This window comes from Homo sapiens, chromosome X (assembly GCF_000001405.40).
Source record: "Homo sapiens chromosome X, GRCh38.p14 Primary Assembly".
NCBI lineage: Eukaryota > Metazoa > Chordata > Mammalia > Primates > Hominidae > Homo > Homo sapiens.
This window is the reverse complement of record NC_000023.11, coordinates 48055539-48082369: the sequence shown is the minus strand read 5'-3', so window position 1 is coordinate 48082369 and position 26831 is coordinate 48055539. Positions and strand designations below refer to the sequence as shown.

The following is a 26831-nucleotide window of genomic DNA, read 5'->3' as shown; positions in this document are numbered from 1 at the left end:
TTCCAAATTTTCACATCCCAATCGGGCTTAGTTATGACAGCTTTAATTTCTGGTCATTTCCATTTCATTCCCCCTAGGCGGACCAATCTATCTACATGCTAAGGTTTCAATTTTTGTTCTCTTGGTCGTCAATTTTCTTCATTATGTTGGATGCAAGGAGAAAAGTCAAAAGTCACGTGTCTTTTTCTTGTTGCAATTCCTTCCCTAGCCATTTAATTTTCATCTCTGCTGCTAGCTGGGCCTCCAATGCCAAATGAACAGCCCAGAGAAGTGGCCAGCCCACTGGATAGGTTATCCACCACCCTTCCCTATCGCAGTGCACTATATGGCTTTCAGTTAATAACTCCTTTTGAGTTTTCGGGATGTCCCATTACTCATGCGGAGGTCCACAAGCATCTAACAGAGGTGTCACACCACCCCACATAGATGTTGCTGGCCACCCTGGAGTTTCACGCACAGATGCTTCATTCCCCTTACCCATTTCTTTTTTTTTTTTTCATATCAGATGAATAATGTGCTGATGTCATAACAAGGTTTGAGAAAGGCACATCTCACATAAGCACATGAACACCCAATCATCATGCTTAGGAACTACAAAAGGATCAATTTCTTAGTTCTTCAGCTCCTGCCTGGCTCAGCAAATGTTCCACAGTAGCTGGTATACGCAAACCCACCCCTAAAGGCCAAGGGAACTGAAAGGCAGAAGAATAAGGCTGACAAACCCAGTTCTCAGAAAGGAATATTTAATAGGGACTTAGGAATGCAGGCCATCTCAGGGAGCTCTAAGAGGGTGGAACCCCGCACCCGCCCATCAGAAAGTATTCTTTCTATAGCATGCTTTTAGAGTAAAGACACGTCCAGCCAGTCTGGTCTTAGACTTGCTTGCCAAAACTCTGGAAAACTGGGGAGGCCGGGCACAGTGGCTCACACCTGTAATCCCAACACTGGGAGGCCGAGGCGAGCAAATCACTTGAGGTCAAGAGTTTGAGACCAGCCTGGCCAACATGGTGAAACCCTGTCTCTACTAAAAATGTAAAAATTAGCCAGGTGTGGGTGGCAGGCACCTGTAATCCCAGCTACTCTGGAGGCTGAGGCAGGAGAATTGCTTGAACCCGAGAGGCAGAGGTTGCAGTGAGCCAGGATCGCACCACTGCACTCCAGCCTGGGTGACAGAGCGAGACTCTGGAAGAGAAAGAAAGAGAGAAAGAAAGAAAGAAAGAAAGAAAGAAAGAAAGAAAGAAAGAAAGAAAGAAAGAAAGAAAGAAAGAAAGAAAGGAAGGAAGGAAGGAAGGAAGGAAGGAAGGAAGGAAGGAAGGAAGGAAGGAAGGAGAAAGAAAGAAAGAAAGAGAGAGAAAGAGAGAAAGAGAGAGAGAAAGGAAAGAAAAGAAAAAAAAGAAAAGAAAAGAGAAAGAAAACTGGGCAGGTTAAATAAGCTTATTATTAAGGTTATCTATACTGCAGGAACTGTTTAAAAACCTTGCTGCAGAACACTTCGGTATGCAGGAGTCAAACGTTGATCATGATGGTGGATTTGCTTCAAGATAGCACCGTTTTTGCCATAAACTGGCTGTTTTCTTGCAGGTATATGGAACACACTTTAACTTTTTAAACCCTAAATTAAATAAAATAGTGAAACTCCTCAATTTCTGGGTGATCCCACAACCATGCGCTCAGGTGAATTCCCCCACCCTCTTCAATACATTACACCCAGGAAATCTAAGAAGCACGGTCAGGCCTTTGGATACATTTACTGCAGAAGGGAACCGGAGCATGGAATCATGGGAATCCACCTCCCAAGGCCCAACACTTTCATCCTGAGCTTGCGCATGAAACAATAATGAACGAGATTTTTACCTAAAGGGGATGGGTAGGAACATGGTGGAAAGGAGGGGATGGGAAGTAGGGATGAGCAGGGAGGAACACTTTTATTCTTTTGGTATAGTTTTGCCTCTTTTAAAAGCATAGTAGTGTTTCACATATTGCAAAAATAGATATAGAAAAGTGAGGAAGTAGGTGAAAAAATAAATACATTAAAATAAACTAGGCTTGGGGGGACCCAAAATGGAACATAAATAGAAACAAAGGAACCTAAGTATATTACAAATGAATAACATAACCACGCTAACGGGCATGAGGAAGAAAATAGCTAATCTGAGTAACTTTGGGAAACAGTTATTTTGACTGGATACTATAAGACAAAAATCAAAAATGACTGTATGCAAATATTGTACTTTTTTATTTTTATTTTTTAAATAGTGATGGGGTTTCCCTATGTTGCTCAGGCTAATCTTTAACTCTTGTGCTCAAGTGGTCCTCCCACCTCGGCCTCCCAAAGTGCTCGGATTACAGGCATGAGCCACCATGCCCAGCCAAATTTTGTAATTTAGTTAGTGATTTTTTTTTTAACACAGGGGTATGGTTAGGAATTCTGAGACTACTTTATGTGTATATGAGGATTGAACAAATGAGTAAAATAGAGATAATGAGAGCCATGTTTCTCACTGTCTGAGAAAGGCATTACAAATCTGGAAAGGAGGTAGGGCTAAAATAATCCTGAGACCTTGGACTGGAATCAGAGATGTCAGTATGAACCCAAGGTACATTCTGCAAAACAACCTGCCTATGTCCTTCAAAAAAGGCCAATGTCATAAAAGATGAAGAAAGGACAGATTAAGGGAGACTGAAGAGATGAGACAGGTAAATGCAAAGCAGAATCTAGACTGGATCCAGGAACAGAAAAAAAGTTGTCTTTTGCTGTAAAGAACATTATTGGGACTATTGGCATATTTTGAAAAGGTTTTGTTTTTGTTTTTTGAGACAGAGTTTCACTCTTGTCACCCAGCCTGGAGAGCAATGGCATGATCTTGGCTCACTGCAACCTCTCTGCTTCCCGGGTTCAAGCAATTCTCCTGTCTCAGCCTCCCAAGCAGCTGGGATCACAGGCACCCACCACCACACCCAGCTAAGTTTTGCATTTTTAGTAGAGATGGGATTTCACCACGTTGGCCAGGCTGGTCTCCAACTCCTGACCTCAAGTGATCCACCCACCTCGGCCTCCCAAAATGCTGGGATTACAGGCTCAAGCCACCGCACCCAGCCCAAAAAGGTTTAAAGATTAGATAATTGTGCTGTATCAATGTTAATTTCTTGACTTTGATTATTATATTATGGTTATATAAGGCAATGTCCTGTTTTCTCTGTTTTTCTTTAGCAAAAACACACTAGTATTTAGGGACATTTATTGTTTCTGTTTGTTTGTTTTTTGAGACAGAGTCTCACTCTGTTGCCCAGACTGGAGTACAGAGGCATGATCTCGGCTTACTGCATCCTCCACCTCCCAGGTTCCAGCAATCCCCCCACCTCAGCCTCCTGAATAGCTGGGACCACAGGTATGTGCCACCACACCTGGCTAATTTTTTGTATTTTTGGTAGAGATGGGATTTTGCCATGTTGCCCAGGCTTGTCTCGAACTCCTTAGTTCAAGTGATCATCCCACCTTGACTTCCCAAAGTGCTGCAATTATAGGCCTAAGCCACCTTGCCAGGCTGACATTTATTGGGGAACCTACCCCGATATTCACATAGGTTCTTTTCTATTTTCCTTAAGCATCGGCCAGCTTGAGAAATAAAGGGACAGAGTACAAAAGAGAGAAATTTTAAAGCTGGGCGTCCGGGGGAGACATCACATGTCGGTAGATTCTGTGATGCCCCACAAGCCGTTAAACCAGCAAGTTTTTATTAGGGAGTTTCAAAAGGGGAGGGAGTATACGAATAGGGTGTGGGTCACAGACATCAAGTACTTTACAAGGTAATAGAATATCACAAGGCAAGTGGAGGCAGGGCGAGATCACAGGACCACAGGACCAAGGTGAAATTAAAATTGCTAATGAAGATTCGGGCACCATAGTCATTGATAACATCTTATCAGGAGACAGGGTTTTGAGAGCAACCGGTCTGACCAAAATTATTAGGTGGGAATTTCCTCTTCCTAATAAGCCTGGGAGTGCTATGGGAGACTGGGGTTTATTTCACCCCTGCAGTCTTGACCATAAAAGACAGGTGCACCTGGGGGGGCCGTTCATAGGCCTATATCTCCAGGTGCGTATTCTCTTTCTCAGGGATGTTCCTTGCTGAGAAAAGGAATTCAGCCATATTTCTCCCATTTGCTTTTGAAAGAAGAGAAATATGGCTCTGTTCCATCCGGCTCACCGGCATTCAGAGTTTAAGGCTATCTCTCTTATTCCCCGAACAATTGCTGTTATCCTGTTCTTTTTTCAAGGTGCCCACATTTCATATTGCTCAAACATACATGCTGTACAATTTGTGCAGTTAACGCAATTATCATATTGTCCTGAGGCGACATACATCCTCCTCAGCTGACAGGATTAAGAGATTAAAGTAAAGACAGGCATAGGAAATCACAAGGGTATTGATTGAAGAAGTGATAAGTGTCCATGAAATATTTACAATTTATGTTTAGAGATTGCAGTAAAGACAGGCATAAGAAATTATAAAAGTATTAATTTGGGGAACTAATAAATGTCCATGAAATCTTCACAATTCACGTTCTTCTGCCATGGCTTCAGCCAGTCCCTCCGTTTGGGGTCCCTGACTTCCTGCAACAGACATTTATATTTAAATGATTCAGAAAAAATTATGTGTATATATATATATATAATATGCACCATATATATGTACATATATGTTATATATATGTAAAGAAAATAGGATAAAATAATCACATTTGGAGAATCTGGATGAAGGGTATATGAGAGTTCTTTGTACTATTTTTGCAACTTTTTCTGTAAGTTTGAAATTATTTCCAAATAAAGCATTAAAATAAATGCAGAGTATTGGACCTCATCCTTGACTTATTGGATCAGAAGCTCTGGGTCTAGAGTCCAGGAGTATGCATGAAAGGCATTACTTACTGCATCAGAAATTTTTGTAAAGATTATTTTATTTTTTATTATTATTATTTTTACATTTTTTGTAGAGATGGGATCTCACTAGGTTGCCCAGGCTGGTCTCCAATTCCTGGGCTCACGCTATCCTCCTGCCCTGGGCTCCCAAAGAGTTGGAATTATAGGCCTGAGCCACTGTGCTCTGCCTAAACATTTTATTTTTAAAAATTCCTGTGGACATGTCTAGAGAGAAGCATCAAAAAATTATTGAGAAGGGCTTTGATCATCATGAAAATTCTTAACTTCCAGGGGTCCTGTCATACATAGTTTCCCACATATTTGAGAGAAATCTTAAAGATGTACATAGCTACTGTATTAGTCTGCTTAGGTTGCCATAACAAAATACCATAGACTAGATGGCTTAAACAATAGAAATTTATTTTCTCACAGTTCTGGAGGCTGGAAAGTCCAAGATCAAGGTTCCAGAAAGGTTTGGTTTCTGGTGAAGCCTCTCTTTCTGGCTTGCCGATGGCTGCCTTCATGCTGTGTCATCACATGGCGGAGAGAGAATCTCTTGGGTCTCTTACACTTGTCTCCAATCAGGGTTCCACCTTCTGACATCATTAACCTTAATCATCTTCTTATAGGCCGTATCTCCCATGCAGTCATGTAGGGTGTTAGGTCTTCAACATACAAATTTTGAGGGAACACAATTCAGTGCACAGCAGCTACTGCATAACACTGATGAAGTCTAGACATGATTGTGGCTTTAGTTAGGGCTACACAGCAGATTATGTGTCCTCTCTTCTCCACACTGAATCTAGGCCTTGGGTCACATTTCTGCCATCTATGGCCTTCAGATCTGAGCCTTGATCTTGGTCCTGTGTTAACTCTTCCACTTTCACTGCCACTCAGGCCTGACCTTGCACCTGGTTCTCTGTTCAGTTTTCTCTCTTTCTTTCTTTCTTTTTTTTTTGAGATGGAGTTCCACTCTGTTGCCCAGGCTGGAGTGCAGTGGTGTGATCTCTGCTCACTGCAACCTCCCCCTCCCGGTTTCAAGTGATTCTTATGCCTCAGCCTCCTGAGTACCTAGGATTACAGGCATGTGCCACCACGCCTAGCTAATTTTTGTATTTTTAATAGAGATGGGGTTTCCCCATGTTGGCCAGGCTGGTCTCAAACTCCTGACCTCAAGTGATCTGCCTCAGCCTCCCAAAGTGTTGGGATTACAGGCGTGAGCCACTGTGCCTGGACTGTTCAGTTTTCTCTTTATGCCTACTTCTGTTAATGCTTCCACCCCTAATGCCCCACTTGTTGGGGCATCTCTGTTAACTATTTCATCATCAACTCATTTCTAGCATGAAAACCAAACCTGACTTCTTTTTATTTTTCCTCCATCAATGCCTCTTCTGATCTGTGAATTAAATCCAGGTTTCTTAACACCATTAGTTTTCCCACTCTGATTTATATATTAAACCTAGAGCTCAGTTATAGATTTTAGCATTAATGCTCCCATTTTTTGACATTGAATCTGGCTGGCTGTTAAATTTTTTTTTAGGGGTCTTGCTCTGTCACCCAGGCTGAAGTGCAGTATCACAATCATAGCCCACTGCAGCCTCGAAGTCCTGGGCTCAAGCGATCCTCCTGCCTCAGCTTCTGGAGTAGCTGAGATTACAGGCATGTACCACTGCACCCAGCTAATTGTTTTTTTATTTGTAGAGATGGGTTTTTGCTATGTTGTCCAGGTTGGTCTTGAACTCCTGGGCTCAAGTGATCCTCCTGCTTCAGCCTCCCAAAGTGCTGGGATTACAGGTGTGAGCCACTGCACCCAGCCCTGTTAAGTCGTTAATCATCAATGGCCCTCAGATTTTTTGTTTTGTTTTGTTTTGTTTTGTTTTTTGAGATGGAGTCTCGCTCTGTCACCAGGTGGGAGTGCAGTGGCATGATCTCGGCTCACTGCAACCTCTGCCTCCTGGATTCAAGCAATTCTCCTGCCTCAGCCTCCCGAGTAGCTGGGACTACAGGAGTGCACCACCATGCCCAGCTAATTTTTGTGTTTTTAGTAGAGACGGGATTTCAGCGTGTTGGCCAGGATGGTCTTGATCTCTTGACCTTGTCATCCGCCCACCTCGGCCTTCCAAAGTGTTGGGATTACAGGCATGAGCCACCGCACCCAGCCCACCCTCAAACCTGTTAATTATTCCACCATCAATGTGTCTATATTGTAGATCTTAAACCTGGGCCTCTGTTGACTTTTTTTTTTTTTTTAACCACCAGTGCTCCTGGGGCTTTGATCCAGAGCTCAGGATCTCTGTTGAGATTCCATCAATTTCCTTTGAAATTTGAACTTTGACTTTGAATTTCCTTTAACTTTGAACTCAGGCCCTTGATGCAATTCTGACGTAACAGCCTGGACCCCTCATCTAGGCCCATCCTATGTGAACTTAAATCTGATTCAAACCATTGATCGTTTTCTCTTGTTAATACCCTATGCTTCAATCAAATCTTCCGCCCCCATTGGCCCTCTGGTTTGACTTAAACATTGGGCATTGTGGTAGACAGATTAATAGTCCCCCCAGAGATATCCCTCTCCCAACCCCTAGAACCTGTGAATATGTTACCTTACAAAGCAAAAGGAACTTTGCAGATGTGATTAAGAATTTTAAGATGAGATTTTCCTGGATTATCTAGATGGGCCCAATGTAATCAAGGGTCCTTACATTATCTAGATGGGCCCAATGTAATCAAGGGTCCTCCTTCATAGAGGGAGGGAGCGCTCTGGGAGGCTGAGTTGGGAGGATTGCTTGAGGCCAGGAATTGGAGTCCAGCCTGGGCAACCTAGCAAGACCCTGTCTCTACCAAAAGTTAAAAAATGGCCAGGCGTGGTGGTTCACGCCTGTAATCCCAGCACTTTGGGAGGCTGAGGCAGGCAGATCAGGAGGTCAGGAGATCAAGACCATCCTGGCTAACATGGTGAAACCCTGTCTCTACTAAAAATACAAAAAATTAGCCGGGCGTTGAGGCGGGCACCTGTAGTCCTAGCTACTCTGGAGGCTGAGGCAGGAGAATGGCGTGAACCCAGGAGGCAGAGCTTGCAGTGAGCCGAGATTGCGCCACTGCACTCCAGCCTGGGCGACAGAGTGAGACTCTGTCTAAAAAAAAAAAAGAAAAGTAAAAAAATTAGCTGGGCGTGGTGGCATGTGCCTGTAGTCCTAGCTACTCCAGAGGCGGAGGTGAGAGGATCGCTTGAGCCCCGAAGTTAAAGGTTACAGTGTCTGATCACACCACAGCACTCCAGCCTGGGTGACAGAGCAAGATCCTGTCTGTCTGTCTCTCTCTCTCTCTCTCTCTCTCTCTCTCTCCATATATATATAAAACAGGGAAGGAGAAGGGTTTGAGTTAGAAAAGGAGACGTGATGATGGAAGCAGGTTACCGTCAGAGAGCAATGTGAAGATGCTACACTGTCAGCTTTGAAGATGGAGGAAGGGACCATGAGTCAAGGAATACAGGTGACTTCTAGCAGAAGCTAGGTAAAGCAAATAAACAGAGTTTCTCCTAAGCCTCTGTAGGGAGTGCCCAGTGAAACCCATATCATATTTCTGACATGTAGGACTGTAAGATAATAAATTTGTGTTGTTTTGAGCAAGTAAGTCTGTGATAATTTGCTATAGCAACAACAGGAAATGAATACAGGCATCTTTGAAATATTCCATCATTGATGGCCCGTCTGGTCTATACTCAAACCATGTCCTTCTTAACTCTTCCACCATCCCTATCCCTCTGACCTCACCTCAAACCCCAGCTGTTGTTAGCAATTCCACCATCAAAGTCTCTTATCTGTGCTCTCCAACCTGGGCTTCTATTAACTCTTCCAACCTAAATCAACCCTTAATTTTACCTTGAACTGGGGAATCTGTTATCCATTCCACTATTAATGGGTTTGGATCTAGAGAGAGAATTCAGGGCTTTGAGGGTGGAAAATTAATAATCCTGGGTCTATGTGTTAAGCTTGAGTTTCTGTTCACTTTTCCATCACCAGGGCAATTTACATGTGAATCTTTTTGCATGTCTGTTAACTCTTTCCCCATTACTGCCCCTCAGTTCTTGCTCACTGCAACCTCCACCTCCCAGGTTCTAGTGATTCTCATGCTTCGGCCACCCAAGCAGCTGGAATTACAGGCATGCACCACCACGTCTGGGTAATTTTCGTATTTTTAGTAGAGACAGGTTTTCGCCAAGTTGGCTATGCTGAGTCCTGGCTTCAAGTGATCTGCCTGCCTCCACCTCCCAAAATGCTGGGATTATAGGAGTGAGCCACTACGCTCTGCATCCCTCAGATCTTTACACTGACTGCAGGCCTCAGTTGAGTCCTCTCCATCTATGATCCTTTGGTATGTACAGAAAATCAAGGCTGTACTAACTTTTTAGCTACTTGTGCCCCTTCTCCTGTATCCACCAACCCCAATCCTCAGTTAACATTTATTTTTATAGAGATGGAGTCTCACTATGTTGCCCAGACTGGTCTTGATCTCCTGGGCTCACATGATCCTCCCGCCTCAGCCTCCCAAAGTCCTGGGATTACAGGTGTCAGCCACTGTGCCCGGCCCTCAGTTAACATTTTTTTCTTATTTTTATTTTTTGAGACAGAGTTTTGTCTCTCCCCCAGGTTGGAGTGCAGTGTCACAGTCTTGGCCCACTGCAACCTCCACCTCCCAGGTTCAAGCGATTCTCATGCCTCAGCCTCCCAAGCAGCTGAGACTACAGGCATGTGCCACCACATCTGGCTAAATTTTGTATTTTTAGTAGAGATAGGGTTTTGCCATGTTGGCCAGGCTGGTCTCTAACTCCTGGCCTCAAGTGATCCTCCCGCCTTGGCCTCCCAAAGTTCTGAGATTGCAAGTGTTAGCCACTGTGCCCAGCCCTCAGTTAACATTTTTATCATGAATGCCATTTGGTTTGACTTTGAAGTCAGACCTTGATTAATTCTTCCACCATCATTACCCCTTTGGTATAGGCTGTGAATTCCGGGGCTCTGTTAACCACATCACGTGACTTTAATGGGTCTCTGGTCTTGGCTCAGATTTGGGTCTAAGTTAACCTTCCATTTAAGGCCTCTCTGAAATAACTTTGGAATTGGGTTACTATTGCACCACCAGTGCCCCTCTGATTTGATCTTCAAGCAGGATATTTGTTAATGTTTTCTCCATCCATACACCCTGATAGAGGTCTTGAATCCTAGGACTTTCTTAACTATTGTAACCATCAGAGTTCCCGTTTTGTATCGAACATGAACCTTTGTTAACTCTGCAATCCTGTTCCGGGCTGACTTCCAATCCAGCCCTTTGTTAAGTCGTCTAAAACCAATGTCCCTTAGGTTTTACCTCGAACCTCTGACTCTATGAACTCTTTTAGTTTTGATACGGGCTGCAAAAGGCCATATAAGCCTACTTGAACTAGGGCAGGCAGAAGTCCAGGCTGTAAATGACAGGTGAAGGTGGGCCCTTCCGTGTTCAAAGGAGCCAATGGAGGACCGGTGGGCAGTGAGTGACAGATGGGGGCGGGTCCTGACGCCAAGCAGGAACAATAGGAAGGCGGCAGGGCGCCGAGGCCAGGTGGGGAGAAGTGGGCGGGTATGTGTGAGCCCCCTGAAAGGCTGCATGATGTCAAAGGTCTCTTCCCTTTCTCCAGACGTTTTAGGAATTCGCTTCTGCGGAGGAATCTCCCGGGGGGTGCTCTGTCCAGCCTTCCCACTTTCCCCGTTTCCCACCCTGCCATGTCGCCACGCCTTTGCTCAGGCCGTGCCTCTTCTGGTGGCCGGGAACGCCCACTCACCCGGACAAGTCGCGGCCCTTCCAAGCCTCACACTGCTTTCGTAGGATCAATTCCGAATACCCAAACTCGGAGATATCACGAGGACTCCCCCGGGCCCCCAAACGCACCTCTCCTCTGGCTGGAATGGGAGCCTCCAGAAGCAGTGCGAGACCACGGCCAGCGACAGAGGTCCTGGCGCTGGCGGAATGACGCCATTTTTGTTACTGGTAGAGCTCGGCTTCGTGGCTGTTTCGGAGCCACCGAAAGATAAGCTCCCTCGTCACCCTGACATCTCTCCGGGAAGACTGGAAGGGAAATGGCCTTTCGGGGGATGTTGAACGCATTTGGGCAGGCGGGGAGCCAAGCCCGGCTTGAGAGCAGAGCCGGGGTGAGGGGCCTGGCTGAGTGCTGCGGGTCTATGTGATCAGTGACGGATGGAGACAAGTGGAGGGCCTGAGGAGGGGATTGAGTGACGTGGAGAACAGTGATAGGGGAGCCTGTGGGACCAGGGGTAACAGTATGTGGGTTATGCAAATGGGAGTTTGTGGGGTGATGGGGGATCTGTGCGGTGTTTGATGATGTCTGTAAGGGTGAGTGATGGGGCTTCTATGGGATGGGTGAAGGGAGTCTGGGGTGAGTGATGGGTGGTCTGTAGGGTGAGGGATGCTGATCCGTGGGGTGAGTGGATAGGGGGATCTGGGGTGAGGGATGAGGGTCTATGAGGACAAGAATGGGAGTGTGTGTGGGGTCAGTGTTGACATTCTGTGGGGTCCATGATGGGTGGCTTTTTCAGATCAATCATATGTGCATGAATGAACAAAAATCTCTGCTCCTGTGGTGTCCACATTCCGATGGAGAAGTCCAACTTGGTGGTTTGATTTGTATTTCCCTCATGACCAATAAGTTTGAGCACATTTTCTTATATGGATTCATCACTTGGAGATCTTCTTTTGTGAGGGGCCTGTCTTTTGTTCATTTTTCTGTTGGACTCTCTGCCCTTTTCTTAATGATTTGTAGGAATTTTTTTTTTTTTTTTTTTTTTTAGACGAAGTCTCACTCTGTCGCCCAGGCTGGAGTGCAGTGGAGAAATCATGGTTCACTGCAACCTCCACCTCCTGGGTTCTAGCAATTATCCTACCTCAGCCTCCCGAGTAGCTGGAATTACAGGCGCCTGCCACCACGCCTGGCTGATTTTTTTGTATTTGTAGTAGAGACAGGGTTTCGCCATGTTGGCCAGGCTGGTCCCGAACTCTTGACCTCAGGTGATACACCCACCTCGGCCTCCCAAAGTGCTGGGATTACAGGTGTGAGCCACCGTGCCCGGCCAGGAATTGTTTTTATATATTCTGATACCACTCCTTTAGTAGTGGTATGTGTTTTGCAAATATCTCCTTCCAGCTTTTGGCTTCTCTTTTCATTTTATGGCTTTAAATATGAAGATTTTCAGTTAATTTTGAACTGTAAAGCACATTCTTCAGTTAAAAAGCAGACAATATCGGCTGGGCGTGGTGGCTCACACCTATAATCCCAGCACTTTGGGAGGCCGAGGCGGCCGGATCACGAGGTCAGGAAATCGAGACCATCCTGGCTAACACGGTGAAACCCCGTCTCTACTAAAATTACAAAAAAATTAGCTGGGCGTGGTGGCGGGCTCCTGTAGTCCCAGCTACTGGGGAGGCTGAGGCAGGAGAATGGAGTGAACCAGGGAGGCGGAGCTTGCAGTGAGCCGAGATCGCGCCACTGCACTCCAGCCTGGGCGACAGAGCGAGACTCCATCTCAAAAACAAAAAACAAAAAACAAAAAAAAAAAAAACAGACAATGTCCTGTGGAATTTAGGAGGATAACTAATTTTTTAGGGCATCCAGAAGCAAGGGGTGTTGCCTGAAAATCTTAGTGCTAGGACAGCTTGGGAGGAGTTCTTTACTTTTTGTTCCTCTACCACCTCGCTCTAAATCACTGGCAGTGTGATCTTAGACAACTCATGAAACCTCTCTAGGCATCAGTTTCCCACTGCGAAATGAGGATAATAGCAGGGCCTACCCTGTGAGGCTTGGGATGAGAAGTGAGTTAATACCTGAATGTTACCTATTCGCCATAGTTTTGCAGCACTAATTTTGTATATATTTCATGGATCTTCCTTGAACTCAAGGTTACTGCTGCTCATGTAATACCAAAATCTGGTGAAGGAAATTAAATACCAAGGAATAAGGTTTTGTCAGCTATGGTTGCTTTGGAGGGTCACAACCCATTGTAATATCTAAGAAGCTTTTTTTTGTTTTTGTTTTGTTTTGTTTTGTTTTGCCTCCAAGAACTAATTTTTGTCCCCTTGGGGGCAGTATCACCCCCCAGTGAGAATGTGTGATCTACATGGTATTTTTTTTTTGTTTTCTTTTCTTTTCCTTTTTTTTTTTCTTTGACAGGGTCTCATTCTGTTGCCCAGGCTGGAGTGCAATGGCGTGATCTCAGCACATTGCAACCTCCGCCTCCCGGATTCAAGTGACTCTCCTGCCTCAGCCTGCCAAGTAGCCAGGACTACAGGTGTGCACCACCACGCCCGGCTAATTTTGTTTATTTTTTGTAGAAACGAGGTCTCACTATGTTGCTCAGGCTGGCCTCGAACTCCTGGACTCAAGCAATCCTCTTGCCTTGGCCTCCCAAAGTACTGGGATGACAGGTGTGAGCCACCACCCCTGGCCTGTTATTCTGTTATTAAACAATTAGGAATACATTCTTGTGTTCTGCCTCTTCTTCATTTTACAGTGATGTTTCCATGCCATTAACTTAATTCCCGTAGTACGACTTGGTTTATTTCTATGGTAATACTTAACTATAAACCTTTCTTATGGAAATTTTCAAGCATCCACAAAAATAGAGGGAATTGTATAATGGAACCCCATTATGCCCACCACCCAGTCTCATCAGTCATCAACTCATGGCCCATCTTGTTTTATCTAGACCAGGGGCTGGAAAACTGGGCAGTGGGCCAAATATGACATGTTGCTTTTTAAAAAAAAAATACAGCCATGAGCTAAGAAATGGTTTTTTCACACTTTTTATCATTGGAAAAAAATCAAATGGAGAATATTTTGTGACCCATGAAAATGATATAAAATTCAAATGTCAGTGCCCAAAAATGATGTTTAATTGGAACACAGCCAGTGAACACCTTTAGTTTATGTATTGTCTAGGGCTACTTTCAACCTGCAATGGCAGGGCTGAGTAGTTACAGCAGAGACCACAGAACCCACAAAATTGAAAACATTTACCATATGACCCTTTTACAGAAAAAGTTTGCCAAGTCCTCATCTAGGCCACCCCCTCACTTCTTCCTCCCGGAATGCCCTTCCTCCCTTTCTTCCTTCCTTCCTTCCTTCCTTCCTTCCTTCCTTCCTCTCTCCCTCCCTCCCTCTTTTCTTTTCTTTTCTTTTCTTTTTTCTTTTCTTTTCTTTTCTTTCCTTCCTTCCTTCCTTCCTTCCTTCCTTCCTTCTTCCTCCCTCCCTCCCTTCCTTCCTGCCTTCCTTCCTGCCTTCTGTCCTGCCTTCCTTCCTGCCTTCCCTCCTGCCTTCCTTCCTGCCTTTCTTGCCTTTCTTTCCTCTTTCCTCACTCGCTCGTTGCCCAGGCTGAAGTGCAGTGGCTCAATCTCGGCTCACTGCAAATGCCACCTCCTTGGGTTCAAGTGATTCTCATGTCTCAGTCTCCCTAGTAGCTGGGAATACAGGCGCCCACCACTACGCCTGGCTAATTTTTGTATTTTTAGTAGAGGCGAATTTTGCCATGTTGACCAGGTTGGTCTCGAACTCCTGGGCTCAAGCCATCTGCCTGCCTCAGCCTCCCAAAGTGCTGGGCTTACAGCTGTGCACCGCCACGCCAGGCTAATTTTTTGTAGAGATGGGTCTCCCTATGTTGCCCAGGCTGGTCTTCAACTCCTGGGCTCAAGCAATTTGCCCACCTCCGCCTCCCAACATGCTGGGATTACAAGCATGCACCACCACGCCTGGCTGCTTTTTGCATTTTTTTAGTAGAGATGGGGTTCGCCATGTTGCTCAGGCTGGTCTCCAATTCCTGAGCTCAGGCAATCCACCCGCCTTGGCCTTCCAACGTGCTGGCCCACCGCACCCGGCCTGTATGCAGTTCAATGACTTTTTACATGGGTAGTCTTTATTATTTTGAAACAAATCCCAGACACATATTTTCATCCATACATGCTTCATTATGAAAAAGATAAGGCCTTAAAGGTTGATGCTGTTACCCTAAGGTAAAATAATTAGCAATAATATCTTCAGATAATCAATGGTTAAATTCCTTAATGTTATCAAATATCTAGTCAGGGTTCAAACTTTCATGATTATCTCAAAAATTTCTTTTGTTTATTCAAGTAAAGAGCCAGACAAGACCATACTTTACATTTGCTGGTGGTGTTTCCTGAACCTTTTTGAATCATCTGGAGTGTTGCTTTTAAGGGCTGCCTGCCTTTGCAGCAGTCTTTAGTGCTGGGCATTTGTGTTATTTTCAATAATATGGTGTTAAAGACAAAACTGTGTTGAAGGTTTCTGTGGTTAAATATCTGCACATATCCATGATTATTACCTTAGGACGAAGTTCCGGAAATGGAATTACCGAGTCAGATGAGAAACACAAGTCATCAATGAATTAACAAGCAACACATTGTCACATCCAGCTGTTGAAGAGTGGTTAACTCAGCTTGATCTCCGAAGACTCTTCTGCACCCCACCCCGCCCCCAACTGCTTTCCAAAGAGAAACAGAAAATGATTGAGTCCCAGGTAAGTTATTTGTTTGCCACTTGGTTTTCCCACAACAAAATGAGAAAGGGCAATTAGTTGAAAATAAGGATTAGAGAAATTTAGAGAGAATAGATGATCAACAGGCAAAATTGCTGTGAAGATACACAGATCACCTGGCCTTACTTCATAGAAACTTAGCTAAAATTTTGACTATAAGCAAAACATTTTGACTGGCAGCTTCAGTGAAAAGGGTAACATAACATGATCAATAATGTGATTTGCATTCTCCACAAAAAGAAATCAGTCCAGCTCCTTAGCAAGTCAAGATTTCTGGGACTTTAACTTGAGGAATTTTATTACTGAGTTTTCCTGAAGGTCAGTGGTTTTCAGTCCAGGGTGGTATTGTCAGTAGTTGTTCTAAAGAGACTGTTTTTAGTTAAAGTTCTCTGGCAGGGGCTTGGAGAGTGGGATAGTTTCCTTGTTTTCCATGGCTCCTTTGCTGTCATCTCAGAGTTTGTGGGGTCTCAACCCAACTCAAGGCAGTTCCTTCTCTGCTCTTCCAATTTTAGTCGTTTTTTTTTTTTCTCCCTGAAAAGGTAATCTATACATGGGGCAAAGAATGTAAACAATATAGTTTAAAAAAAAAAAGGAAGTGAAATATCTCCAATCTTACTTCTTCCTCCTTCCCCGACATAACTAGGATTATCTGGTTTGAGGAGGATCTCTTTTCTTTATGCATTTATAACTCCATCTATGTGTGTAGATGGATGTGTAAATGTGTGAAAGTGATCTCATTATTGTCATGTATTTTTTCTTTACCACACACAAAAAATACACACACTGTTTCTATTCCGTTCTGCTACTTTCTTTTCTTGCCTAATATAAAATATATACGAAAGTAGAGATTTTAGTGAACCCTTTTGTAATTACCCATCTGCAAATATTATCAACTGATAACCAAGCTTGTTTTATCTATCTTTCATCCCCACCTACTCCTATCGTCATCATCATCATGATCTAGCCAATCCCTTGTTAATATTTTGTTTAGGGTTTATACTACTGTGTTCATAAGACATAAGGGCCTGTAATTTTACTTTCTTCTATTGTTTCTGTCACCTTTTGGTATCATGTTACATTGGCCTCATGTTGGAAAGTATTCTCTTTATATTCTCTGGGAAAATTTGGGTAATATTGGTACTATTTCCATCTTAAATTTTTTTTTTTTTTGAGATGGAGTTTCACTCTTGTCGCCCAGGCTGGAGTGCAATGGCACGATATCCGCTCATTGCAACCTCTGCCTCCCAGGTTCAAGCGATTCTCCTGCCTCAGTCTCCCAAGTAGCTGGGATTACAAGTGCCCGCCACCAAGTAGCTGGGATTACAAGTGCCTGCCTGCCTTCCTTCCTTCCTTCCTCCCTCCCTCCCTCCCTCCCTCTCTCTCTCTCTCTCTCTCTCTTTCTTTCTTTCTTTTTTTTTGAGACCGGGTTTCACCCCAGTTGCCCAGGCTAGAGTGCAGTGGCACTATCTTGCCTCACTGCAGCCTTGACCTCCCAGGCTAACTTTTGTATTTTTAGTAGAGATGGGGTTTCACCATGTTGGGCAGGCTGGTCTCGAATTCCTGGCCTCAGGTGATCCACCCACCTCGGCCTCCCAAAGTGTTGGGATTACAGGCATGAGCCACTGCGCCCGGCCTATTTCCTTCTTAAATGTTTGAAAGAGCTCCCCAGTGAAGCCATCAGGGTATGGAGTTTTCTTTGTGGGAAGGTTTTAAATTACATATTCAATTTATTTAAAAGATATACTACCATTCAGATTTTCTATTTCTTTTTATGTCTGGTTTGGTAAATTGTAATTTTCAAGTAATTTGTCCAGTTCCTCTAAGTCAGGGGTCAGCAAACTTTTTCTGTAGAGGGACAGATCGAAGTATCTGAGGCTTTGTGGGCCATACGGCCCCTGTTGCAACTATTCAAATCTGCTGTTTTAGGTAGAAAGCAGCTATTGACAATATGTAAACCAATGAGCCTGGCTGTGATTCAATAACACTTTATTTATGGATGCTGAAGGTTGGATTTCATATAATTTTCATGTGTCATAAAATATTCTTCTTTTGACTTTTTTTTCAATCATTAAAAATGTAAAAACCAGACCAGATACAGCTAGCTATTCACGCCTATAATCCCAGCACTTTGGGAGGCCAAGGTGGGCGGATTGCTTGAGCTCAGGAGTTCTAGACCAGCCTGGGCAGCATGGCGAAACCGCATCTCTACAAAAAAATACAAAAATTAACCAGGCATGGTGGCATGCGCCTGTGGTCCCAGCTACTCAGGAGGCTGATGTAGGAGAATCACTTGAGCCCGGGAGGAGGAGGTTGCAGTGAATCAAGACTGTTCCACTGTACTCCAGCTTGGCTGATAGAGCAAGACTGTCTCAAAAGAAAACGTGTAAAACCAGTTTAGCTTGTGGGCCATTGAAAAACACATGATGGGCTAAATTTGGCCTGCAGGCTATAGTTTGCTATGTCCTGATCTACATTGTCTACTGATGTACATTGTCAAATTAATGTCCATTAAATGTCCATTTAATGTTTGCAGGATACCAGAACCTTGTTGATGGGCTGTAAAAAAGTTATTTCTAGTTTTTCTTTTATATACAGTAGTAATAATAATAAGAAGAATCATAGCTACTATTTACTCAGTGCTTATCATGTGCCAGGCACTGCTATTATAAAATATCGTGGGATTAACTTATTTAATTCACCCAGGAACCCTCTGTGCTAGGTACCATTGTTATTCCCATTTTTCAGATGAAGAAAATGAGGCACAGAGATCACACAGCTAGTACATGACCTAACCAGACCTCTCAAGCAGTGAAGTCACAAATAAAACAACCATATAAAGATATCTTTTTATATTTGTGAAGTATTTGTGTAGGCCACATTCTCAGACATGAGTGTGCTAGGTCAGAGGCACACAGACTTATAAATTTAAAGAGTATTTTTCAAATCGTATATATATATATTTTTTTGAGACAAAGTCTCACTCTGTCCCCCAGGTTGGAGTGCAGTGGCATGATCTCAGCTCACTGTAACCTCCGCCTCCCAGGTTCAAGCGATTCTCATGCCTCAGCCTCCGGAGTAGCAGGGATTACAAGTGCCTGCCACCACGCCCGGCTAATTTTTGTATTTTTAGTAGAGACTGGGTTTCACCATGTTGGGCAGGCTGGTCTCGAACTCCTGACCTCAAGTGATCTGCCCACCTTGGCCTCCCAAAGTGCTGGGATTACAGGCATGAGCCACCCTGCCCAGCCCAAATTGTATTTCAATACTGTGTAATCAGCTGAACATGTGGCCACAAATTGTTTACAAGAAAGCCCACCTGTTTCCCAAGGTTCCCCCTCCCTCCTGCCACCATTAGCCATCATCTGTTTTTTTCATTCTTGTTGTTTTTATGATTAAGCATTATATCTCATTTTCATTTGCTTTTCTATAGGGATTAAATAAGCTTCAGCATCTTTTCACATATTTATTTTCCATATTGTATTTCTCTGTGAATCCCTCTTTCCTTGTCTTTGCTTATGGTTTCCCAGGAGCTTTTTGTATATGAGTGATTTTGAAGTGCACATTGCAAACTTTTTTTTTTTTTTTTTTGGCCAGGTAGTGATTTTTCTCTCAACCTTTTTGTCTGTCTCCCCTCACTAGAATACAAACTCCTTCAGGGAAGGTATTTTTGCCAGGTTTTTTTTCCTGCTGTATCCCCAGTTCCTAGAATAGTGCTTGGTATTCGCTAGGTACTCAATAACTGCTTGCTGAGTGAATGAATGTTTATTTTCACTTAACAGTGTATCTTAAATATTGTGGCATATCAATTAATATAGATCTTCCTTGTTGCCTGCCTGCCTGCCTTCCTTCCTTCCTTCCTCCCTCCCTCCCTCCCTCCCTCTCTCTCTCTCTCTCTCTTTCTTTCTTTCTTTTTGAGACAGGGTTTCACCCCAGTTGCCCAGGCTAGAGTGCAGTGGCACTATCTTGCCTCACTGCAGTCTTGACCTCCCAGGCTCAGGTAATCCTCTCACCTCAGCCTCCCTAGTAGCTGGGACTATAGGTGTGTGCCACCACACCCGGCTAATTTTTTGTAGAGACAGGGTTTTGCCATGTTGCCCAGGCTGGTTGTTTGTTTGTTTTTGAGACAGAGTCTCAGTCTGTCGCCCAGGCTTGAGTGCAGTGGCACAGTCTCGGCTCACTGCATCCTCCGCCTCCTGGGTTCAAGCAAGTCTCCTGCCTCAGCCGCCTGAGTAGCTGGGACTACAGGCATGCACCACCATGCTCGGCTAATTTTTGTATTTTTAGTAGAGACGGGGTTTCGCCATGTTGGCCAGGCTGGTCTTGAATTCCTGACCTCAAGTGATCCACCTGCCCCTGCCTCCCCAAGGGCTGGGATTACAGGCGTGAGCCACCACATCTGGCCCCTTCTTTGTTGCTTTTTATAATTGCATATAGTATTCCCTTATGGAGATTGTAGCATTATTTATTCATCCAATCTCCCATGAGGTGGTTTCCATTCTTTTGCTATTATAAATAGTACTGTAGAGCAGTGTCTTCACACATGTCATTTGCTCACATAAGTGAATGTTTATGTAGAATAACTTCTAGAAACCAAATTGCGAGTCAGAGGATGTATACATTATAAATTTGGATAGATATTGCCAAATTAATTGCCTTCAAAATATACCATACACCACAGACAATTTGAGTATGCCTGCTTCTTGACATCTTCACTAACTTACCCTAAGTCACTGTGACTTATCCCTAGTCATAGCATTTGACCAGTGACTTATCAAACACCCATCTTTGATAATATGTAAGGGAAAAATGCTGTCTTGTCTTAGTTTGCATTTATCTTCATGTGAGTGAAGTTGAGCATCTTTTTACATGTTTAAAAAACATTTGCATTTTATTTTCTGTGAAATGATGGTCATGTCCCTTGACCATCGTATTAGTCTGTTCTCATGTCACTATAAAGAAATACCCAAGACTGGGTAATTTATAAAGGAGAGAGGTTTAATTGACTCACAGTTCCACGGGGGTGGGGAAGCCTCAGGAAACTTACAATCATGGTGGAAGGGGAAGCAAGGACCTTCTTCACATGGTGGCAGGAGAGAGAAGTGCCAGCAAGGGAAATGCCAGACGCTTATAATACCATTAGATCTTGTGAGAACTCACTCACTATTATGAGAACAGCATGGGGGAAACTGCCTCCATGATTCAATCACCTCCTTCACTTGACAAGTGGGGATTGCAATTCAAAATGAGATTTGGGTGGGGAAACAGAGTCAAACCATATCAACCATTTTTTAAAAAGTTATTGGTCTTTTTCTTCTTGCTTTGTAGGAGCTCTCTCTATACATGGAGGAAATTAACTCTTTGTCCATCCTATCTGTTATGTGTATATTTTTTCCCTAGTTAGTCATATCCTTTGAGTTTGTTTGATATATTTTGCCATGTAATACATAAAGTAGTCACATTTATCAGTGTTTTCATTTGTGGCATCTGGGTTTTGGGGCATGCTTAGAAGAGTCTTCTCCACTCAAAGATTATTTTTTAAAACCTCTCCTGTCTTTATTTTATAGTTTCTCTTTTTTCATTTAAATTTTTGTCATGAATTTATTTTTGTATATAGTGTGAGGTAGGGAATCCAGTTAATTTTTTTCTGATAGCTCTCCAGTTTTGAATAGTCTGTTTTTCCATTCCTGTTTAAAATGCTACCTTTATTATATATTAAATTTCCCATTTTTATTTGTATCTATTTCTAGACTGTCTGTTCTGTTCCACTAACTATTCTTGCTAATGGCAGGGTTTTACATTGTTTCTCTCATAAAGTATGCTGGGCAAAGTGCAAAGTAGGCATCCTACATGTACTGCTATGGTAAAAATGACCAGAACGAGCAGATTGTACAGGAATGTGCTGTTATAGGAACCAGTGACATTTGAGGATGTGGCTGTGGACTTCACGCAGGAAGAGTGGCAGCAGTTGAATCCTGCTCAGAAGACCCTGCATAGGGATGTGATGCTGGAGACCTATAATCACCTGGTCTCCGTGGGTAAGGGCAGATTCCCTGTGTACCAATGAATCAAATCCTCCTCATCCTTCCTTTAGTGCTGTCAATACCATGACCTTTATGATATTCCTTTAATAGAGTGTGTTCTTTTATAGTTTTGGTTTTTCATGTTTATACTTTTGTTATATCTAGAATTTATTTTTATGTTATGGTGTGAGTTAAGGATCCAACTTTGCTGGGAGGCCCCTGCAAGTGCTTCTCTTCATGAATTTCTGAGCTGCCAAGGCCAAAGCCACTACAATTTTCTCTTAACAGGGTGTTCAGGTATAAAACCAGATGTAATCTTTAAGTTGGAACATGGAAAGGACCCATGGATCATAGAGAGTGAGTTGTCAAGGTGGATCTACCCAGGTAAGTGAGAATTGGGTACATGGTCAAGCGGGCATCTTCTTCTTCCTTGACATCTCTGACATCCGTTACCTTTTTTCTTCCTTAAAATTTATCAGGCCTCCTTTATAACATTCATTCTACAACAGCCACCTTCCTAGTACCTCTGTTCATTGCCAACTGTTTTGTGTGTGTGTGTGTGTGTGTGTGTGTGTGTGTGTGTGTGTGTGTGTGTGTGTATTTGATTTTCCCTCTTTCTTCTTCCTTCAGACAGAGTGAAAGGCCTTGAATCTTCCCAGCAGATCATTTCTGGAGAACTTTTATTTCAAAGGGAGATACTAGAAAGAGCCCCAAAGGATAATTCATTGTACTCTGTTTTAAAAATCTGGCATATTGATAATCAGATGGATAGATATCAAGGAAATCAAGACAGAGTTTTGAGGCAGGTCACAGTCATCAGTCGTGAAACATTGACTGATGAGATGGGTTCCAAGTACAGTGCATTTGGGAAAATGTTCAATCGGTGCACAGACCTTGCTCCTTTAAGTCAAAAATTCCATAAGTTTGATTCATGTGAAAATAGCTTGAAGTCTAATTCAGACTTACTAAATTATAACAGGAGCTATGCAAGAAAGAACCCCACTAAGAGATTTAGATGTGGGAGACCACCTAAGTATAATGCTTCCTGTTCTGTGCCTGAGAAGGAAGGCTTCATTCATACTGGAATGGAGCCCTATGGAGATAGTCAATGTGAAAAAGTTCTCAGTCATAAGCAAGCCCATGTTCAGTATAAGAAATTTCAAGCCAGAGAGAAACCCAATGTTTGTAGTATGTGTGGGAAAGCCTTTATCAAGAAGTCACAGCTCATTATACATCAAAGAATTCATACTGGAGAGAAACCATATGTATGTGGAGATTGTAGGAAAGCCTTCAGTGAGAAATCACACCTCATTGTGCATCAGAGGATTCATACTGGGGAGAAACCCTATGAATGTACTAAGTATGGAAGAGCATTCTCCCGGAAGTCACCTTTCACTGTTCATCAGAGAGTCCATACTGGAGAGAAACCCTATGAGTGTTTTGAGTGTCCAAAAGCTTTCTCCCAGAAGTCACATCTAATTATACATCAGAGAGTTCATACCAGAGAGAAGCCCTTTGAATGCAGTGAATGCAGGAAAGCCTTCTGTGAGATGTCTCACCTTTTTATACACCAGATAACTCATACTGGGAAGAAGCCCTATGAATGTACTGAATGTGGGAAGACCTTCCCTCGGAAAACACAGCTCATTATACATCAGAGAACGCATACTGGAGAGAAGCCCTATAAGTGTGGTGAATGTGGGAAAACTTTCTGCCAACAGTCCCACCTCATAGGACATCAAAGAATTCATACAGGAGAAAAACCTTATGTGTGTACTGACTGTGGGAAGGCCTTTTCCCAGAAGTCACACCTCACTGGCCATCAAAGACTTCATACTGGAGAGAAACCTTATATGTGTACTGAATGTGGAAAATCCTTCTCTCAGAAATCACCTCTTATCATACACCAGAGAATTCATACAGGGGAGAAACCTTATCAGTGTGGTGAATGTGGCAAAACCTTCTCCCAGAAATCACTCCTCATTATTCATCTGAGAGTTCACACAGGGGAGAAACCTTATGAGTGTACTGAGTGTGGGAGGGCCTTTTCCCTGAAGTCACATCTCATTCTACATCAGAGAGGTCATACTGGAGAGAAACCCTATGAATGTAGTGAATGTGGAAAGGCCTTCTGTGGAAAGTCTCCACTCATTATACATCAGAAAACTCATCCTAGGGAGAAAACCCCTGAATGTGCTGAGTCTGGAATGACTTTTTTCTGGAAATCACAGATGATTACATATCAGAGAAGACACACTGGGGAGAAACCCTCCAGATGCAGTGACTGTGGGAAGGCATTCTGCCAGCATGTATACTTTACTGGGCATCAGAATCCATATAGGAAAGACACCTTGTATATATGCTGATTGTGGGAAGGCCTATTCCCAGAAGTCAGTCCTCATTGTCTATGGGAAAACTCACATTGAATAGAAATAGTGACAACTTCTCAACTGTAGAATAGACTAATATGTTCCTCAGTATACATGATTACCCTTCCACAGAATGATCTGCTTAGGCCCTCAGAATATTTTCAACATCACAAATATGGAATCAATTTGCTCACCCTCAAACTGTCTCAGCCCTCTTCACAGAATAAATGTATCTGGAAGAATTAGCACTACTTTGGTGTTGTTTGGTCATTAAATGCTTTATAGAATTCTCTTGTGAATTTATTTGGGCATGGTGCATTATTTGAAGGGTATCTCTTTGTCATCTTTCTCTATTTTTTCCATATTTTTCTGTTTAGATTATATATGCATTTATGTATTTATTTATTTTGAGATGGAGTCTCGCTCTGTTACCCAGGCTGGAGTGCAGTGGCGTGATCTTGGCTCACTGCAACCTCCACCTCCTAGGTTTGAGCGATTGTCCTGCCTCGCCCTCTCGAGTAGCTGGGATTATAGGCATGCACCACCAGGCCCGGCTAATTTTTGTATTTTTAGTAGAGATGGGGTTTCACCATGTTGGCAAGGCTGGTCTCGAACTCCTGACCTCAGGTGATCCACCCACTTCGGCTTCCCAAAGTGCTGGGATTACAGGCATGAGCCACAGCACCTGACCTATATATGCATTTAGATTGAGATATTGATATATCAATATATAGATGTAGAAATATGGACTCTTTGTAATTTTTAAAAATCATGTATTTCCTCAAGGTTCTTAATATATTTGCATAATTTTGGGTAAAGTAGTCTCATGATTAATTTCCTTTATATCTGTGGTTATTTCTCCAACATAGTTCTCATAGAGTGTATTTGTGATTTTTTCCCTCAATTAGGTAAATAAATGCTAATATTTTATTTCTTTTACTCTCCCTCACCTGTGTTGCAGTTCATGCATTTTTTGCCGTTTTTCTATTTTCTAATTATGCATTTATGCTTTTATTTCACTAAAATCCTTCCATCTGCTTTTAATTTTTTTTCTTTTTCTAACTTCTTTAGTTTAATGTATAATTCAATTAATCTCACTCTTTCTGGTTTATTATAGGTATATTTGGATTATGTATCTTAATCTGAGAACTACTTTAGACATTGTGGTCCAATCTGAGAGTATTCTGTTTTTCAGTAGGTAAATTCTGTTGTTCAGCCCAATTTTGTTTGTCAGTATAACAAATCTATTTGGTCTTAGGACTCCCAGCATATTTCCTGTTGTGCATCCTGTTTTCATTGCTTTATTGTCTTTTGACCCTTCATCTTGTGGTCCTGATTTCACTTGTACTGTTTTAGATGTGTTACTTTTGTTCCAGGGTATAACAAAGAGAGGGAGTCTCCCAGTGGGTTTTCAGGAAGCTAAGCATAATCCTGATATCCTTAATCTTGATAACCCATAATACCTGGAAGGTGGGAGTTTAAGCTGCAAAGAAGCATGATGGTAGGCCAGTGGCTATAAATGTTCAGAGGGCATTTTTACCTTTCCACTTAGTGCCAAGATTTTAGATGGATGATTCCCTTATCGTTTATCTCAGTTCACTTTGTACCTCTACAACAGAATGCCTAATATTGGTAATTTATGAAGCATAGAAGTTTATTTCCTACTATTGTGGAGGGTGGGAAGTCCAAGATCAAGACACTAGCATTTGGGCTGGTGAGGGCCTTCTTGCCATGTCCTCACATGGCAGAAGGCAGAAGGGCAAGCTAATAAGCTAGTGAGCTAACTGAACACTTCGTGAATCTTCTTTTAAAAGGGCATTAATCCATTAAGGAGGGAGCAGCCCTTGTGACCCAATCACCTCTTAAAGGCCCATCTTAATACTAGCACATTGACAGCATCTGAATTTTGGAAGGGACACATTCAAACCATAGCACAGTCCCTTGGGCAGAGGTGGTTTTATTTCAAGCTCATTCTTTCACTGAAACTGAAGCCATTTTTGTTCCCAGATTTATGTCAGCAGTCTTTACCCACCTTGAGCAGGCCATGTTCTTGAGAATTGCAGCTTCAGTAATCTTGGTTTGGCAGATACTCTCAAAGTGAAGGGGTAGCAATAGTGGATGCGTTTGTGTACTCCCAAAATTCATATTTTGAAACCTAATTACCAAAGTGATGATATTAGAAGGTGGGGCCTTTGGGAGGTGATTTGATCTCAAGGGTTCTGCCCTCATGAATGGGATTAGTGACCTAATAATAGAGGCCTGACGGAGCTTGTTTGCCCCTTCCACCATGTGAGGATACATCAAGGAGATGCCATCAATGATAAATGGGCCCTCGCCAGACACCAAATCTGCTGGCACCTTGATATTGGATTTGTCAGCCTCTAGAGTCGTAATAAAGAAATTTCTGTTGTTTATAAGTTACTCAGTTTATGGTATCTTTGTTATAGCAGCCTGAGCAGACTCAGACAGTGGAGTGTCTGTTTTGTTGAGGTTGCTGTGGCCGAGCTTCTGCGGTCTGATTTCCTGTGAAGTCAGTGCTTGCAGCAAGCCACAGGAACAGTGAAGAATTTCCTAAAAATCTCCCAGAGTGTGGATGGACATTGTTTTTTTGTTTGTTTGTCTGCTTGTTTTGAGACGGAGTCTTGCTCTGTCACCCAGGCTGGAGTGCAGCTGCGCGATCTCAGCTCACTGGAAGCTCTGCATCCCGGGTTCATGCCATTCTCTTGCCTCAGCCTCCTGAGTAGCTGGGACTACAGGCGCCTGCCACCATGCCTGGCTAATTTTTTTTTGTATTTTTAGTAGAGATGGGCTTTCACCGTGTTAGTCAGGATGGTCTCGATCTCCTGACCTCGTGATCCGCCCACCTTGGCCTCCCAAAGTGCTGGGATTACAGGCGTGAGCCACTGTGCCCGGCCAGACATTGTTT

General features: G+C 43.2%; 1 protein-coding gene, 1 long non-coding RNA gene and 1 other non-coding gene across 6 annotated transcripts, besides 3 other annotated features; 1 reads left to right on the top strand and 2 right to left on the bottom strand.

Annotated features, from left to right (window-relative positions):
- Positions 1–499: 499 nt before the first annotated feature.
- LOC124905272 (small nucleolar RNA U13) lies at positions 500–603 on the bottom strand. Its single transcript, XR_007068436.1, has one exon. It is a non-coding gene; the product is annotated as a small nucleolar RNA U13 (small nucleolar RNA).
- Positions 10392–10588: a silencer, noted in NCBI's record as "fragment chrX:47931149-47931345 (GRCh37/hg19 assembly coordinates)". NCBI's record gives its function as "represses an EF-1alpha promoter that drives an FKBP-Casp9 reporter gene in an ReSE screen in phorbol 12-myristate 13-acetate-treated (for megakaryocytic differentiation) K562 erythroleukemia cells {active_cell/tissue: K562(+PMA)}" and the evidence as "EXISTENCE:reporter gene assay evidence [ECO:0000049][PMID:32094911]".
- Positions 10392–10759: a biological region, named in NCBI's record as "ReSE screen-validated silencer GRCh37_chrX:47931149-47931345".
- Positions 10500–10759: an enhancer, noted in NCBI's record as "active region_29601". NCBI's record gives its function as "activates an Ori minimal core promoter by ATAC-STARR-seq in GM12878 lymphoblastoid cells {active_cell/tissue: GM12878}" and the evidence as "EXISTENCE:reporter gene assay evidence [ECO:0000049][PMID:35858748]".
- ZNF630 (zinc finger protein 630) lies at positions 10730–24854 on the top strand. 4 transcript variants are annotated; one of them, NM_001190255.3, is made up of 5 exons: positions 10730–10904; positions 15309–15498; positions 21467–21551; positions 21825–21920; positions 22167–24854. In NM_001190255.3, the coding sequence occupies exons 2-5, from the start codon at positions 15484–15486 to the stop codon at positions 23900–23902; spliced, it is 1932 nt and encodes a 643-aa protein (NP_001177184.1). In that variant the 5' UTR covers positions 10730–10904; positions 15309–15483; the 3' UTR covers positions 23903–24854. The 4 variants fall into 4 exon arrangements, with proteins under 4 accessions (NP_001177184.1, NP_001269130.1, NP_001269131.1 ...); NM_001282201.2 differs by having other exon boundaries at positions 10730–11103; positions 21425–21551; NM_001282202.3 differs by having other exon boundaries at positions 10730–11103; positions 21425–21551; positions 22171–24156.
- On the bottom strand, positions 15062–26060 carry ZNF630-AS1 (ZNF630 antisense RNA 1). The gene is made up of 2 exons (NR_046742.2): positions 25938–26060; positions 15062–16060 (listed from the first exon to the last, which is right to left on the bottom strand). It is a non-coding gene; the product is annotated as a ZNF630 antisense RNA 1 (long non-coding RNA).